Source organism: Homo sapiens, chromosome 22 (assembly GCF_000001405.40).
Source record: "Homo sapiens chromosome 22, GRCh38.p14 Primary Assembly".
NCBI classification, from domain to species: Eukaryota; Metazoa; Chordata; class Mammalia; order Primates; family Hominidae; genus Homo; species Homo sapiens.
In genome coordinates this window covers 49,393,444-49,408,791 of record NC_000022.11, presented here as the reverse complement: position 1 = coordinate 49,408,791, position 15,348 = coordinate 49,393,444, and the positions used below count along the sequence as shown (strand labels likewise).

General features: G+C 50.9%; 1 annotated feature.

Annotated features, from left to right (window-relative positions):
- Positions 10,582-11,083: an enhancer, noted in NCBI's record as "H3K4me1 hESC enhancer chr22:49791359-49791860 (GRCh37/hg19 assembly coordinates)". NCBI's record gives its function as "activates a minimal SCP1, AML or CMV promoter by ChIP-STARR-seq in primed H9 embryonic stem cells {active_cell/tissue: H9 hESC(primed)}" and the evidence as "EXISTENCE:reporter gene assay evidence [ECO:0000049][PMID:30033119]".

Here is a 15,348-nt window from a genome sequence, read left to right as displayed (position 1 = left end):
TACTGAAGAGCTGAACCACATAATTAATACATGTCACCTAACAGAGATATGGAGACATTATACCAAAGAATGCAGACTACGCATTTCTGTTCTGTTCTCATGGGGCGCCTGTGCCTCATCATGAAGCAAGTCTCAACAAGGTCAAAGGACAGAAGTCAGAACGCATCCTCTGACCCCAGGGTAATTACAGGGGAAATCAGCAGCAGAAAGTTATAAAACCTCCGCAGAGCTTGGAAAATATGCAGTGATCTCTTATACAGCTCTTGGGTCACAGGGGAATTCACAAAGGAAGTGACAAAGTAGTTCTAGTATTTTAAATGGTGGTGAAAATTCAACCTATGCCTCTACTTCCCGCCAAGCTGTTGAGAGGTGTGAGGATGCTTCACAAAAATGTTCCCCTCCCCTCTCCCCTCACCCCGCCCCACAAACTTCCACTCCCAGGAAGTGCAGAAGCAGCTCTGCAGTTGATCATCCAGATCAGGCCCTGCTCAGTGACCCCAGGACTCTCCCATCTCCGTCTCTCTCTCTGTGTCTCTCTCTGCCCCACCATGCCCGCTCCTGTCATGGTTTTCAGTGATTGGCATATGTGGCTGCCCTCTTCACTGTGTATGTTCTATTTTAGGGAGAACTATTTTAAGAACTGTCTACTTTTCTGCATATTAAACTGGAAGCAGGGGTTGCTGATTCTCTCTCCAAGTGAACAATGTGGTCCACTCACTTGGATGAGCCCCTGATGCCCACAGCCTGGTCTAAGGCTTGGTATCGTCTCCTCTGGGGCACTAGGGAAGCCTCCCGTGAACCCTGATGCCCACAGCCTTGTTTAAGGCTCTGTACCGTCTCCTCTGGGGCACTAGGAAAGACTCCCATGAACCCTGACACCCGCAGCCTGGTCTAAGGCTCCGTCCAGTCTCTGGGGCACTAGGGAAGCCTCCCGTGAACCCTGATGCCCACAGCCTGGTCTAAGGCTCCGTCCAGTCTCTGGGGCACTAGGGAAGCCTCCCGTGAACCCTGATGCCTGCAGCCTTGCTTAAGGCTCTGTACCATCTCCTCTGGGGCACTAGGAAAGACTCCCATGAACCCTGACACCCGCAGCCTGGTCTAAGGCTTTGTCCAGTCTCTGGGGCACTAGGGAAGCCTCCCGTGAACCCTGATGCCCACAGGCTGGTCTAAGTCTCCGTCCAGTCTCTGAGGCACTGGGGAAGCCTCCTGTGAACCCTGATGCCCACAGCCTGGTCTAAGGCTCCGTCCAGTCTCTGGGGCACTAGGGAAGCCTCCCGTGAACCCTGATGCCCACAGGCTGGTCTAAGTCTCCGTCCAGTCTCTGGGGCACTAGGGAAGCCTCCTGTGAACGCTGATGCCGGCAGCCTGGTCCAAGGCTCCATCTGGTTTCCTCTGGGGCACTAGGGAAGACTGCCGTGAAGGCTGATGCCCGCAGCCTGGTCCAAGGCTCTGTCCAGTCTCCTCTGGGGCACTAGGGAAGCCTCCCGTGAACCCTGAGGCCCACAGACTGGTCCAAGGCTCCATCTGGTCTCCTGTGGGGCACTAGGGAAGCCTCCTGTGAACCCCGACTCCACGCCACATGCCCACTCTCTGCTGATGCTCATAAACACACATGGGATGGTGCTGCGAGCCTCAGGGACCTCTTCGTATTCTTGGGATGAAACACACATGCCTTCCTATGACCTTCAATGCCCCTGGGACCCAGCCCAGCCTTCCCTCGCAGCCTCCCTCCCCTCTTGCCCTTCCCAGGAGGAACCCACAGCACCTCCTCTCCTGGCTCAGGGCAGGTCCCGCTCTTCCATGCCCGCTGTTGCCACCATCTCTCCCACCCCGAGGACCACAGCCTGCTCTGGGTGTCCGATGCCCCTCGGGAGAGATGCCTTCCCTGACACCCCCAGCCTTTACCCCGGGGTAGGGGGGCTCCTGCTTCAAGTTCCCAGAGTGTTTTAAATGTTTGGCTTGAGAACCTTCCACTTGGTTTGGAGAATTCCTGGGTGTGAGTTCTTCAGATATTGCTTCTGCTTCATTCTTTGCCTCCCCTCCTTCTACGGCTCTGCTGACACGCAAGGTGCTCCCCACACTCCTACACTCTTTCTGGTGTTTTCCAAATGTCTTCTTCTTTGTCTCAGATGTACCTTCTCATGCTTTGCCTTACCATTCAAAAGGATGGCAATGAGGCTTAAGTATGTGAATAACATAAAGTGCAAAGAACACTTGCCTGGCAGAAAAAAAATTATAATGTTTCCCCAGCAGCCAGTGTTCCCAGCACGGCCCTCACTGCGTTCAGTCTCCCTGAAAGCCCCGTTGTTTTAAGTCCACGCTCTGTTTGATTCCCTCTTCCCTGTTCACACTGTGGCCGTGCATAGATTTGGAACTCGTCACCTCTGAACAGGCTCATAGATTGGACAGGGTTAAAGAATACATTATAGTTTGGAATTCAGCTCAAAACCTCACCAACTGTGTGCCCTTGAGCAAGACAGCCAGGCTCAGAGCTTCGATTTTCTCATCAGTAAAGTAGAAGGAACTGGGGAGTCTCCCTCCGTGGGGGCTGTGAGGATTCAGTGAGTTAAAACCTGTAAGGTTTCCCAGAGAGCACGTGGCGTGTGAGGACCGCAATGGGAGAAGTAGCGGCTGCTATGACGATTGACTGCACACTGGGGTGAGGTGGTAGCACCCAGAACAGGACGCTGTATGAAAATGCCCAGCACAGTAGCTGAGGCATGGGGGAGGCTCCTGTATTATTCATATAAATTAGACAGTAGCTGAGGCATGGGAGAGGCTCCTGTATCATCCATGTAAATTAGATTATCACAGCTATTTTTATTTGTAAAGTAGCATGTCATTTTTATTCTATATAATATATCTTCTTTCTTCTTAATAAAAACAAGTCAGGCTGTGGCTCTCCTACCTGGACCCAGCACACAGGTGGGGCTGTGACTCTCCTACCCTGACCCAGCACACAGGTGGGGCTGTGACTCTCCTACCCGAACCCAGCACACAGGTGGGGCTGTGACGCTTATATACTTGGGTCCACCCATAGCCTGAGAGGAAACTATGATGAAATTGATACTAAAGACCCAGGCCCCTTGAATGAAGACCCTCCCACCCCCATCCCCACCCCAAGGCCCAGAGTCCAAAACCAGGCTTCCCTGTGGTGGCCTGGGAGCCACACACAACCTGAGGCACCTATCCCGAAGATGCCTCTTTTAGGTTATTTACAATCAATGTATAGCCACATTCAGAAGGCAAACACTGTTAGCTTTCCTTAAATCATCTTTTTTGAGACATAATTAGTGCATTCTTATTTTAGAACAATTCGAACATTTATACAAATAGAAGGAACAAGCTGCCAGCCTCTGTGGTTGCACCCTGGGATAAACCATCACTAAATGTTGCATCAGCGACTTCCATCCCTTTATTTGTCACTCACATACTTTACATCTTTGAGGGCATAAGATACATGAAAATTTCCATTCTTACACTTAAAATTAATAAAGGAAACATTTTAAGCTTCTTCTTCTTTTTTTTTTTTTTTTAACTCCATGCATTTCTTCATCTGACCTCCAACATACTGGATGGACACATCCTGCCCTGATCAAGCACAGCCCTGGGAGCTCGGCTTACACAACAAGCACAGCAGCAGGGCCTGGCTCAGCCGTCAGTCATCCCAGCGCAGCAGTCATCATCCCCGGCTTTCAACGCCATCTCCACCGCTGTGGCCGACTGACCGCGCCCCCGCTGAGAGCTGTGATCTTTGCGGCCCCTTTCAACACCCTGAAGGTTCTGCATGTGTCTTTGAAGAGCAGAATGCAGGGGAGCGGTGAGCCGCGGTCTCAGGAAGCGCAGTGCGTCTCTGCCCGCTCTCTGACGGGCTGTGCTTACTGCTCTGGGCTCTCTTCCTCCCTGTGAGAACCAGCCAAGGCCAGGCCTCTGGGGCAGAGCTGGGTTCTCACAGTCAGCCCCAGCCAACATGCCCGCTGTGATGAGCAGCACCATGAGGCCACCCCCAGACTGTGAGCGAGACGAACGGCCCCTCCGTACCCACCCGTGCTGGGTTGCTTTGTCGCCTGGAGGTGGTTCCCAGCTGCAGCCATGCTCCGGATACTGTGACCACAGGCAAGCAGCGGGACCATCCTGTGTGTCAGTGTTCTCACCTGTAAGGTGGGGATAACAATGGGGTCCAGAGGAATGTCACAGGTGTAAATCTGTGAACCATCTACAGGAGAAGGAACACTGCCTGCCAGACATAATTAGTGTGACGTGAACACTCGTCGCTATTACTATTACAGAGCTCACCACCCTCCCTCCACCCAAGCCCCTTCATTCTTAATTCTCCACCTTTTCCAGCTTGAATTCAGCAGTTCCTCCTTGGACTTAGGATTTTTGCCCAAAGAACCCAGCTTTGGAAGAATCTCACCACCTGCCTTTGTGCACCTGACCTCATGCCGCTGAGGCCTCCAGAGAAAACTGCAGAGTCTGGAGGCTGGGGTCATGGTGAAGTTGCCATGGCCGACCTCAGACAAGGGCCCCCATGCTCTGGAGGCCCCGGTGTCCTCCTGGCTGGCGGGCTGTCCACGCTGCGCATACAGGTTTACCCCTCCCTCAGCGCTGGCCCTTCCCCGCCCCACACCGCCCCTGTTTTCTGACTTATCACTCCACCTGGTGTTCCACAGAGAGGTTGGCTGCTGTCATCTAGGAGCTTTTTAAACGCTTTCTGCTACCAAATCTGCAAACCTCCCCACATCTACAGCATCTCTCTCTTCCTCCTGTTACAACACAGGGAGGTCCCACCTCTATCCAGGCTCTGAATCCTGGATTCCAGCCATGTTAAGTCTTAAGGGTTTCACGTGCTTGCTTATCTTCCTTCTTTTTCTTATTTTTAGCACATGCCTCTCTGCGAAATAACTTCCGTTAGCTTAGAAACGTGAGCTAGAACTGTCTGTACTCAAACAAATGAATAGGACATTTACATCTCTTAAACCAACAACACATCCCTACTGTTAGAATTCCCTTTATTTGCTGCTGTTTGAAGCCAAAATCTCACCCATACACCATGACTCCATTTGTCATCAGCCTTTACATTTTTCTGAAATTTTAATATTTTTGGTCCAGGTTATACACATATAGGGTTTTAAAAGTCGAATAACTCTATGAGGCTTATAATGAAAAATTCCAGTCTCTACTCAGTCTCATCTTACCCTCTCCTAATTCCACTTCTCAGGGCCATCATTCTCAACTCTTAAAGAGTTTTTTTCTTTCTTATTCAAAGTTACTCTATTGTGTAAGGCAATGCCAGAGGCTATGGTAGATGAACTCTGACATCCCAGTGTCTTAGCAACACTGAAGTCAAGTTCACCCACCATGCTCTTGACCAATTGTCTGCTCTGCTCCAGCCGGCGACTCAGGGCCTCAGGCCCTCGCATCCCACAATCTCCCCATCTCTGACCTGCGATGCCTGAGGACTCTGAGCCCACCTGCCTGAAGGCTTCCAGAGAGAGAGTCTGAAGGGGGTGCCTGTGCTATGGTGGGTAGCTAGCTAGGTATGAGCAGGGCAGGAGGGGGCTACCCCTCACCACACACCAGGAGTGTCAGGCAACCATCAGGTGTCGGTCAGGCGGTTTTTAAAGGTTTCTCTAAAATGGTCTCAGCTGGCACCAGGATAAGGCAGTCTCCTACTAGATAGAAAACACCTGAAACTCATGATCAGCAGCTTCCTGATGAGATCTCAGGCATGGGGAGAAGGAACACAGGTGCCTGGAAATATGTCAGCATATAAACCCCGAGTCAAGAGGTCGAGCTGGGCACTGGGTCGCTCAAGTCACCTGCCCGGCCCTCTTCCAAGTGTGCTTTCTTTCCTGCTCTAAAGGTTTTTTTTTTGTTTTTTTTTTTGAGACAAAGTCTTGCTCTGTCACCCAAGCTGGAGTGCAGTGACACCATCTTGCCTCACCGCAAACTCCGCCTCCCAGGTTCATGCTATTCTCCTGCCTCAGCCTCCCAAGTAGCTGGGTCTACAGGCACCTGCCACCACGCTTGGCTAATTTTTTTATATTTTTAGTAGAGACGGGGTTTCACCATGTTAGCCAGGATGGTCTCAATCTCCTGACCTCGTGATCCACCCGCCTCAGCCTCCCAAAGTGCTGGGATTACAGGCGTGAGCCACCACACCCAGATCTAAAGCTTTTTAATAAACATTCACTCCTGCTCTAAACCTTGTCTCAGTATTTTCTTCTTCTGCCTGATGCCCCTTGTTCGAATTCTTTCCTCTGAGGAGGCAAGAAATGAGGTTGCTGCAGACTCAACACGAGTTCCTCTCACCGGTAACGTGTGGAGCTTTTCTCGCCAGGCCTGGAGATCTTGGCCTCATTTCTACGACAGTCCACAGACTGCTCCTCAGCGAAGTGGCCACACTCAACTGCCAGGAACACTCGGACATTACCTGGAGGAGGAGGAAGGAATGTGCTTGGGAAGCAGCTAGCTAGACTTTGTGAACATCTCGTGGACTCCCTGTGGGGAGGGGAGTGAGGGAAGTGCCCCAGACACTGGCCCTGCTGGAGGGGGATGGCCGCTGGCCAGTCCTTCCCACCCCCGGGGAGGTCCAAGGTCATCGCTGTCACCCAGATGGAGCCCAGGGACACCCACAGAAACAGAAGCTTGGAACACTGTCCATGTGCAATGCAAGAATGATTGTTATGTTCTAAATGATTGAAAAGTCACTTTTAATATGTGACTTCAAAATACAATCCAGGCTTGTTTTGCTCGCAGAAACTCGTGTGTGTTGAAGACAGGGCATATTGACACTCAGGCCGTCAGCACCCGAGGATTCACACTGCACCTCAGGAAGAGGCGGCTTGGTTTGAGCCACCTTTCGTCAAGGCTTGGGATGAACAGAAATTCCTCGCGCTTTACGCTTCAGGAAGCTTCTGACATTCCGAGGACACCGGCTGCTACCTAGAGCCTCCCCATGTGCATCCCCCGTGGTCAAAAAAGACTGGCGACCCCAGGCCCGGGAAGCAGCCTGCAGGAATGACGGCACAGTGCGTCCCATGCCCTGTGCTCTGCAGGAGAGGGCCCCAGACACACCACTGGGGCTTGGTGGACAGTGGGGCTCCCACTCGAATTCAAAGACCAAATTTCCTCTGCAACATCAAAGACATTGCTCAGTCGAGTGTTGACAAATCCACTTTAATTTCCAATAATTTCCAGGAGACGACAAATGGTGAAGAAGTGGGCAGAATGTTCTAGCTCCTAAGAAGACCTGGGTGGGAATTCCTGTGCCTGGGTTTGTCACGAGACAACCTCTGGTGGGACAGACCATGGTGGGCCTCAGTTTCCCCACCTGAAAAGTGAAACGCTCACGTTGGGGATGTCTTGGGGGCCCTCTGGCAGTCCCACTCACGGGGTGCAAGCTCTCCATCGATGCTCCCTGCCCTGACCACCAGGCCATGCATGGCCACCTCTGGTAGTCCCATGTAGACACAGCCACCCCAGTTAGGGACTCTGCGGTTGGCCTGTGCCACAGTGAGGTTATCACACTTCCTTTTATTTATACCCCGTAATGCAGTCCATCAATCAAAGATGGAATTGTCCTTTTCTGTTTCTTTCCATTAAAAGGGGCATTTCTCAGCTGCGTGACAAAATGAGTTAGGAGCTCCATTTCAAACTTCAGTTTCTGGAGCAGGTTCATTTAGGAGCATCCCCACTGCGAAATGAAACCGGAGGAGGGAGCGGCCGCCACTGCTGGCTCTGCATCCACATATCTTTATTTATTTTGACTATCTTTTAAAACGAAAACACCGTGGCTCCTCTAGGGAGGTCTGGGTCCTGGGAGGAGGTTCATTTTATTTTCCTCGGGGGAGCTGTTTCTTCATGTGGGTCCCAACCTCATGTTGCCTCATGACTAATATTTTCTGTTGCATTTATGAGATCACATAGAAAAAAAATGATAAAAACATGAATCACGTTATGAATTTCCAGGTTGTGAATATTTTACAGTTGAATTCATCAAAAATTTAGTTCAGAGGCTGCTGACTTGGCCATATGCAATGCTAACCTGTGGCGTGGAATCTTGATTCGTGAGAAGGAGGGAAGAGGTTGTTTCTAGAGTCGGCGGGCAGAGGGAATCGGCTCGAACTGCGATCTCCTTTTTCTCTGCATTATTCACAGGAGGCTTATGGCCAGCATGGAACTCCAGGAAACTCCATTTAGAGCAACATCTGAGTTTCTGTAGAAAACACACTGCTCTGGACAAACCTTGTTAACTGAGGAAAGAAACGTTGAGTCTCTGGGACTCTGCTGGGACTCCGGTGCACGGGTGCTGCCCGTCCCCGGGGCGGAGGCTCTGCGAGGCGGCCATCCCTAGGTGGATCTGCCCCACTGCCTCCTTCAGGCTATGCAGGCCTGTTCTGGGCTCCCCCAGGCCCAGGCCGGGGAAGCCAAACTCCTGCAGTGCCGGTCCCAAGCTTGGGGGCCCCATGCACAGCCTGTGTGCAGAGGTCGCCGTCGGCCTCCCTAGCCTGCACGGGTGTACATGACCCCTCCTGCCTCCAGCCCTCCCGGACCTGATTCTAACACATCTCCACTTCCCCAACCCGAACACACTCTCATGGTAGACACAGCAAAACCTTCCTCCCAGAAGCAAACCTCTTTCCAGAGAAAACTTCTCTTTCCTTCTTCTCTGCTTGGATATCGTGTTGTCTACACTTTTCCTAAAGCAATTATCCCAGTCTGCATGCATTTAAGTGTGTGCGTGTGTGTGTGTGCACATGGTGTAGTACATATGGTGTGTGGTGTGTGTGTAGAGTGTGGTGTGTGGAGTGTGTGTGTATGTGTGTGTGGTGTAGCATCTGTGGTGTGTGGTGTGTGTGTGAAGTGTGTATCTCTGTGTGTGTGTGTAGTATATATGGTGTGTGGTGTGTGTGTAGAGTGTAGTGTGTGTGTATGTGTGTGTATGGTGTAGCATATGCGGTGTGTGGAATGTGGATGTATGTGTGGTATAGTGTGTGGAGTGTGGTGTGGAGTGTGGTGTGTGGAGTGTGTGCCTCTGTGTGTGTGTGTGTGGGGTGTAGTATATATGGTGTGTAGTGTTGGGAGTGTGTGTCTGTTGTGGTATATGTGGTGTGTGGTGTGTTGTAGAGTGCGGTGCATGGAGTGGGTGTCTGTGTGTGTGTGTATTTTGTAGTATATGTGGTGTGTGGTGCGTGTGTAGAGTGTGGTGTTTGGAGAGCGTGTCTCTGTGTGTTTGTGTGGTGTAGTACATGTGTGTGGAGTGAATGTGTCTGTGTGTGTGTGTGTGGTGTAGTATATATGGTGTGTGGTGTGTGGAGTGGGTGTCTGTGTGTGTGTGAGTATGTTGTAGCATATGTGGCGTGTGGTGTGTGTGTAGAGTGTGGTGTGTGGAGTGCATGTGTCTGTGTGTGTGTTCAGTGTGCTGTGATGTGTGTGTCTGTGAGTTTCCAGAAGTCACATGACGTGCGATCTCACAGCGGCTTGAACGTGGAAGCAAGGATGAGCCTGAGCCTCCAGAAGCCGTCTATGAATCTGGGCATCTGAGAGATTTGCAGCTGTAGGAAGGGGTGCCTCACTTATCACTAAATGTTTTTTGTTTTGGAAAATAGAGTCATTGTCCATTAAAATATGTATTTACATCAACTGGTAATGGGTGTATGACTGCTACTTTGAAAGGAATTAATGAAAATGTTTTTAAACTTCCTATGTTAGCTTTGAATACAATGGGTATTGACAGACACAACCCACATCACAAAACTCTCCGGTGCCATGAACAACCTTTGGGTGTATAAAGGTGCCCCTAGACCAAAACCTTTTAGAACGGCTGCGCCAAACAATGTTTTGGAGTTGTAGGTGCCTTTGAGCGCCAAGCGGATGGAGTCAGACGTGTATTTGATTCTGGGACTTGACGCCTCTCCCTGAGGGACACCCATCTGGCCTGTGCGGGGGAAATGCACGAGTTTTCACCGACGTGCCGCCCTCTGGTGAGCGAATATCCCCTGGTCCAGTTGCTCTGGGGCTGACGAGCATTGGTTGTGGGCAGGCCACACACCTTGAGCTGTTTCTGGGTACCTGTGTGTGTGTTTCTCTAGATCACGTGCCTAAGAATAAATCTGAGGGCTGTGCACATATGTGACACAGCTCAATTATGCCAAATTCTTTTCCACAGTGGCCATATCCACTTCTCTTCCCATCCACAGGGCGTCAGAATCTCTGCCGCTCCAGGTCTCTGTTAATGCTCAACTTCTGAGGCCAGGGGGGCTCTGACTCCTGCTTTGTGTCCCCTCCAATAACTCCCCCTGGAGGAAGGTGGTGCCACATTCTGAGGACAGGGCAGGATGACAGCGATGTCACAGGGGAGGAGCTGAGGCCTCGCGTCCACAGCCGGCATCACAGTGCTGGCCCCGGGCACTAGCCGGCCGATGCTCGAGTGAGTTGCACAGGGGCACGGGTGGTGTGGAGTGCTTGCTTCAGCTTTGGGTGAGCCAAAGCCCAGGGCCCCGTCAGGAGGAGAGAAGCCGGCCAGGGGGTATGCAGCGGGCGGCAGAGCTTTTGGCTAGTGTCCTCTGCAAGCCCTGTCCCGGGGCTGCCATGAGCTCCACCCCACGGGCTTCTCTCTCTGTTCATCCCTCTCTCTGTCCCTCCGTACTCCTGGCACCCGGGGGGCCTCCCAGTGGTGGTTTGGAGCTTGGCTGTGGCTTCGGTTTACATTATGGGTCCTGTTATTGCAAATGGAGGAGGATGGGGGCCCCACTCAGGTCTGGTCTTGCCCCCTGCAGATGTCCCCTGCCTCAACCTCACTATGGCTGCCTTCCTTTCACTCGGAGTATGGAATGAAGTTTGCCAAGGATGACCAGCCACTTTCCTTTCTTCGTCTATTGAAATGTATGTATGTATGTATGTATGTATGTATGTATGTATGTATTTATTTATTTTGAGACAGAGTTTCGCTCTTGTTGCCCAGGCTGGAGTGCAGTGGCACGATCTCGGCTCACTGCAACCTCCGCCTCCCAGATTCAAGCAATTCTCCTGCCTCAGCCTCCCAAGTAGCTGAGATTACAGGTGCCCGCCATTACAACCGGCCAGTTTTTATATTTTTAGTAGAGACAGGATTTCACCACGTTGGCCAGGCTGGTCTCAACTCCTGACCTCAGGTGATCTGCCCGCCTCGGCCTCCCAAAGCGCTGGGATTACAGGCGTGAGCCGCTGCCCCTGGCTTTGAAATTTATTTTTAATCAGACCACAGCTTATTAAAAATATAACGAAAGTGTGAGACTTCGGGGATGGACTTCAAGGAAACTGTCTCCATTTTAGCTGCAGACGCTTTTACTCTGACATTGAATATTCTGGGTGAATTTCTCCTGTGTTTCCTCAGCTATAAATGCTTACATAAATCAGTCAAACCGTTCAATTTTCTGCTTTGCTCAAAGAATTACAAAGAATGTACTCTTGAATTTAAGGGATAGTTGAGCTGATAAATGTCACAATATATGCCTGAAATTGCACAAAATGAGAATTTCCAACAGTGCCTGATTCAGGCCACATCGTCCCAAACAGGAACTAGAAGGGCATTGCTATTCGCCCGCATAAATTTGAGGACACAGTCGTCTTAGACCCTGACAACCGGCAAGTGAGAGTCCCACGTTCCATTCATGTCTCAGGTTGTTAAATATTTCAAAGATTTAACAGATTCGATGAAGTGAGCATATGCATTGCCAGACAACGGCTGCCAAGATGTGTCAGCTGAAGAATTTGACCACAGCACCCAGGCAGGGTGAAGTTACTCAGGGGCTGACCTCACAACAATGCAATGTCAAGATGGGGGTCGCCTGGCCCCCTGGTGCCTGCTGCTGACTGTAGGATGTTTGTCATCGCAGCCACAGTGATGGGGACACCGGCGTATATGTTTGCCATGACTCTTCCAATTGGACACTTTTGATGGCACATTATTTATACATCAGTAAAGTGAATTAAAATGTTCGTGATGCTATTTGGTGATGCGAACATTGAATATCATGTTGCAACATGATTTTTAAGCTATGTAATATTTACCTGTTGATTCCTGGATGGTGACATTGGGATCGTGCACACGGCAGGATAAAGCCTGAGCAGGCATCCCCGAGGAGTTGCTCGGGAAACACACAGGGGTTGAGACCTGCACCAGGGCCAGGTGAGTTCTTGAAGCTTCTGTTCCTGCCCCCTGCAGAGGGCACTGAGACAGGTCCCGCAAACAGGTCACCTTTGTGGCTTCCTCCCTGGGCGTGGCAGGGGCTACAGTAGCCATGGGAGCTCCATCTGGGTCCCATAAGGAAACCGCCTGGGTGCCCCTGTCAGCCTGGAAGGAGCTGCTCGGGGCACCTGTTACCTTCCTTTCGTCCCTGCAGCACTGAAGCACTTAAAGGAAAAAGTGACATGAATCCTGGATTATTTCAGGCAGAGTCTGTGGGATTGGCATCTCCCTGTGGTCCTTCCTTCTATGTTTCGATATTTAGTTAACAGTTTCATCTGGTTTTTACATTTCATAAAATAAAGTCTCTCGATGTGATGTGAATATAATTCTGCTTTGATCAATTCATTCTTTTCTTTGCTTTTCCTATTTGTTCAAAAAAGCAAAACCAGCCAGTGACCACAGGGTCTCCTCATGGCCTTACCTCTCCTCCTCACCCCAGCTTCCAGGGAAACAAGGTCACACTCCCTGCTGTGGCATGAATGCGGCCCCTCCAAAATTCAGGTGTTGAAACAGCACCCAGTGTGATGGGGTGAAGATGTGGGGCCTGTGAGGGTGATTAGGTTCTGAAGCCTCCTCTCTTGATGGAATTGAGGCCCTCAGGACAGCGGCTTTAGCAGGTGTGGCTGGCAGCTCCCTGCCTACTGCCCTGTAGAGGACACACTGCATGGTGCATCGTGGAAGCAGAGAGGGCAGCCCTCACCAGACGCAGAGCCTGCCCGTGCCTCAGTCTTGGACTTCCAGCCTGCAGAGCTGTGGGAGCTGCATTTATGATGCAATCGCAGCAGCAAGCAGACCCAGACACTCCCCTTTGTAGGAGAGGAGGGGGACGGAGGGGGGCTGCATCATGGCCACAGTCAGGGAGCAGCTGAGTGCTAGACCCCCACATCACACACGAGGGGCTGGTTCCAGCCTCCTTCATTTTGAGTCCAAATCGTCCTAAGTGCTTAGGAAGGTTGGGGTTGGCAGTGCTGGAATTCACCCATCTCTGTGACTGCGGTGCCCCTGCACCTGCATTCACCACTGTGCTGGCTGTGCTGGGGGTTCTTTTGATCTCCTCATGGTTTCTGCTTTGATTTTTTTGAATTAAAAATGTTCCTTTCTGTCTTTTTCTTTCTTGCATCCTTGCTGTACAATGGGTTTTCAATCTTTGGCCGTAAGTGCTATACCTTATTTGAGTTAGAATTCAGTGTTTATCTAGAAAGAATGTGTCCTATTTTTTAATTCTTCTACTGGTTACCCTTCATTAAAAAAGCTGACCTGCACCTGTGTGCCTGAATGACCAACACAAACGCAATGCTGGCCCGCTCCACTGCCTTCCTGTGCTGTATCAATCTGTTCTCATGCTGCTACTAAAGGCATACCCGAGACTGGGTAATTTATAAAGGAAAGAGGTTTAATTGACTCACAGTTCAGCATGGCTGAGGAGGCCTCAGGAAACTTACAATCATGGCAGAAGGGGAAGCAAACACGTCCTTCTTCACAAGGTGGCAGGAGAGAGAAGAAAGCCGTGTGAAGGGGAAAGTCCCTTATAAAACCATCAGATCTTGTGAGAACTTACTCACCATTATGAAATCACCCCCATGATTCAATTACCTCCCACAGGGTCCCTCCCATGACACATGGGGATTTTGGGAACTGCAATTCAAGATGAGATTTGGGTGGGGACACAGCCGAACCATATCACGTACAATGGCTTGGGGCACTCTTCATGCTTCCTCCTGCTTGCCGGGCAAGGTGGATAAATATCTAGTGTTCACGTGTGATCCCTTTAAGTCTGGATTATTGGTTATTATTATTATTATTATTATTTGGCTTTTGTTTCAGAATGAGTTGTGACAATTGCGTTGGCTTTGAATTCATTTTCCAACTGGCATAGCATGAATTCTATGCTTAGATATTCTCAGTGAGAGGACCACAGGTCCCTGTAGCGGGTGTGGTTGGTGCCTCTTAAGATGCACCTCTGGGCCAACACATCCACCTCAGCTCAGAGGCTGATGCAGCTTGATGTTCACAGCTCCCCCTCCTCTGCAGAATGGCTCCCCACTGACCCGGGACTGTCTCATCTGGAGGTTGCAGTTTGTGGTCCTGGATCCTGTCCTCCCTCCTCTTTCCCCACCATTCTGTCACTTCCCTGCTCATGAGCGCCTCCCCTCAGTGGGTCTGTAGCTCAGGCTCTACAGGGAAGTCATGCAGAGAGAGGAGCACTCACTACCAGTGCACAGCACCTTCAGGCGGAAAACCCGAGGCCCAGAGAGGGTGAGTCACCTGCCACAGTCTGCTCGGGAGCCTGTGGTGAGTGGCTGAGGCACATCTCTGATCCTGGACAAATCTCTCTCTCTCTCTGACTCACTTTCTCCATCTCTCCATTCTTTCCTGCTTCCTTTTCCTGGGGATGTTGAACATGTCACTCATTTATCCTCCATGGACCAAGTTGATTCTCTGCAGTACCACTTCTGCTTTTTACTACATTTTCCCTTTGAGTTTTTTTTTTTTTTTTTTTTTTACATTTTCCGCCCCTGCTGTGCAGGTAGGTGGGCATAGCTGCTCTGCCCAGCCCTACCCTATGGGAATGCAGGTATAGTCTCCACATGCCATGCCCCTCGGGATGCGGCATGGGGGTGGGGCAGGTCCTTTCTGACCCTGGCTCCTTCACTAACTACAGGTGGGATTTGGGGCACTTTCCTTTCCCCTCTCTTTCCTCATCCAAAAGTGGAGGTGATGTCAGGTCCAGCTCCCAGGTTGGTGCTGAGTGGGTTATTTCTATCACATAAAACAGGCGGGTGCTTGGAGGGTGCTGTCCAAGGTGACCCCAACCTCTGTCAGTCAGTGATCTGCCCAGTGGCCTGGGAGGAAGCCAAAGCCATGCCCTCCTGCCCAGGGGAACTCCGTCTCTCCGTGGCCTCCCTTTGCTTCCGGCGAGGCCTCTTTGCTAAACGCTGGGATGCTTGTCTCCTTTGGTTTGCTGGGCCTCCTCTCCGAATGCCATTCCACATTTCTCCTCTGTCCCATGTCTATTCTTTTAGGTGAGCTATGCTTGGCAGGAAAACTCATAGTCTCTGGGATCCCACGCTAGCCCCTCTGCTAAGCCCCTCTGAAGCCCACTGACTCTTGTT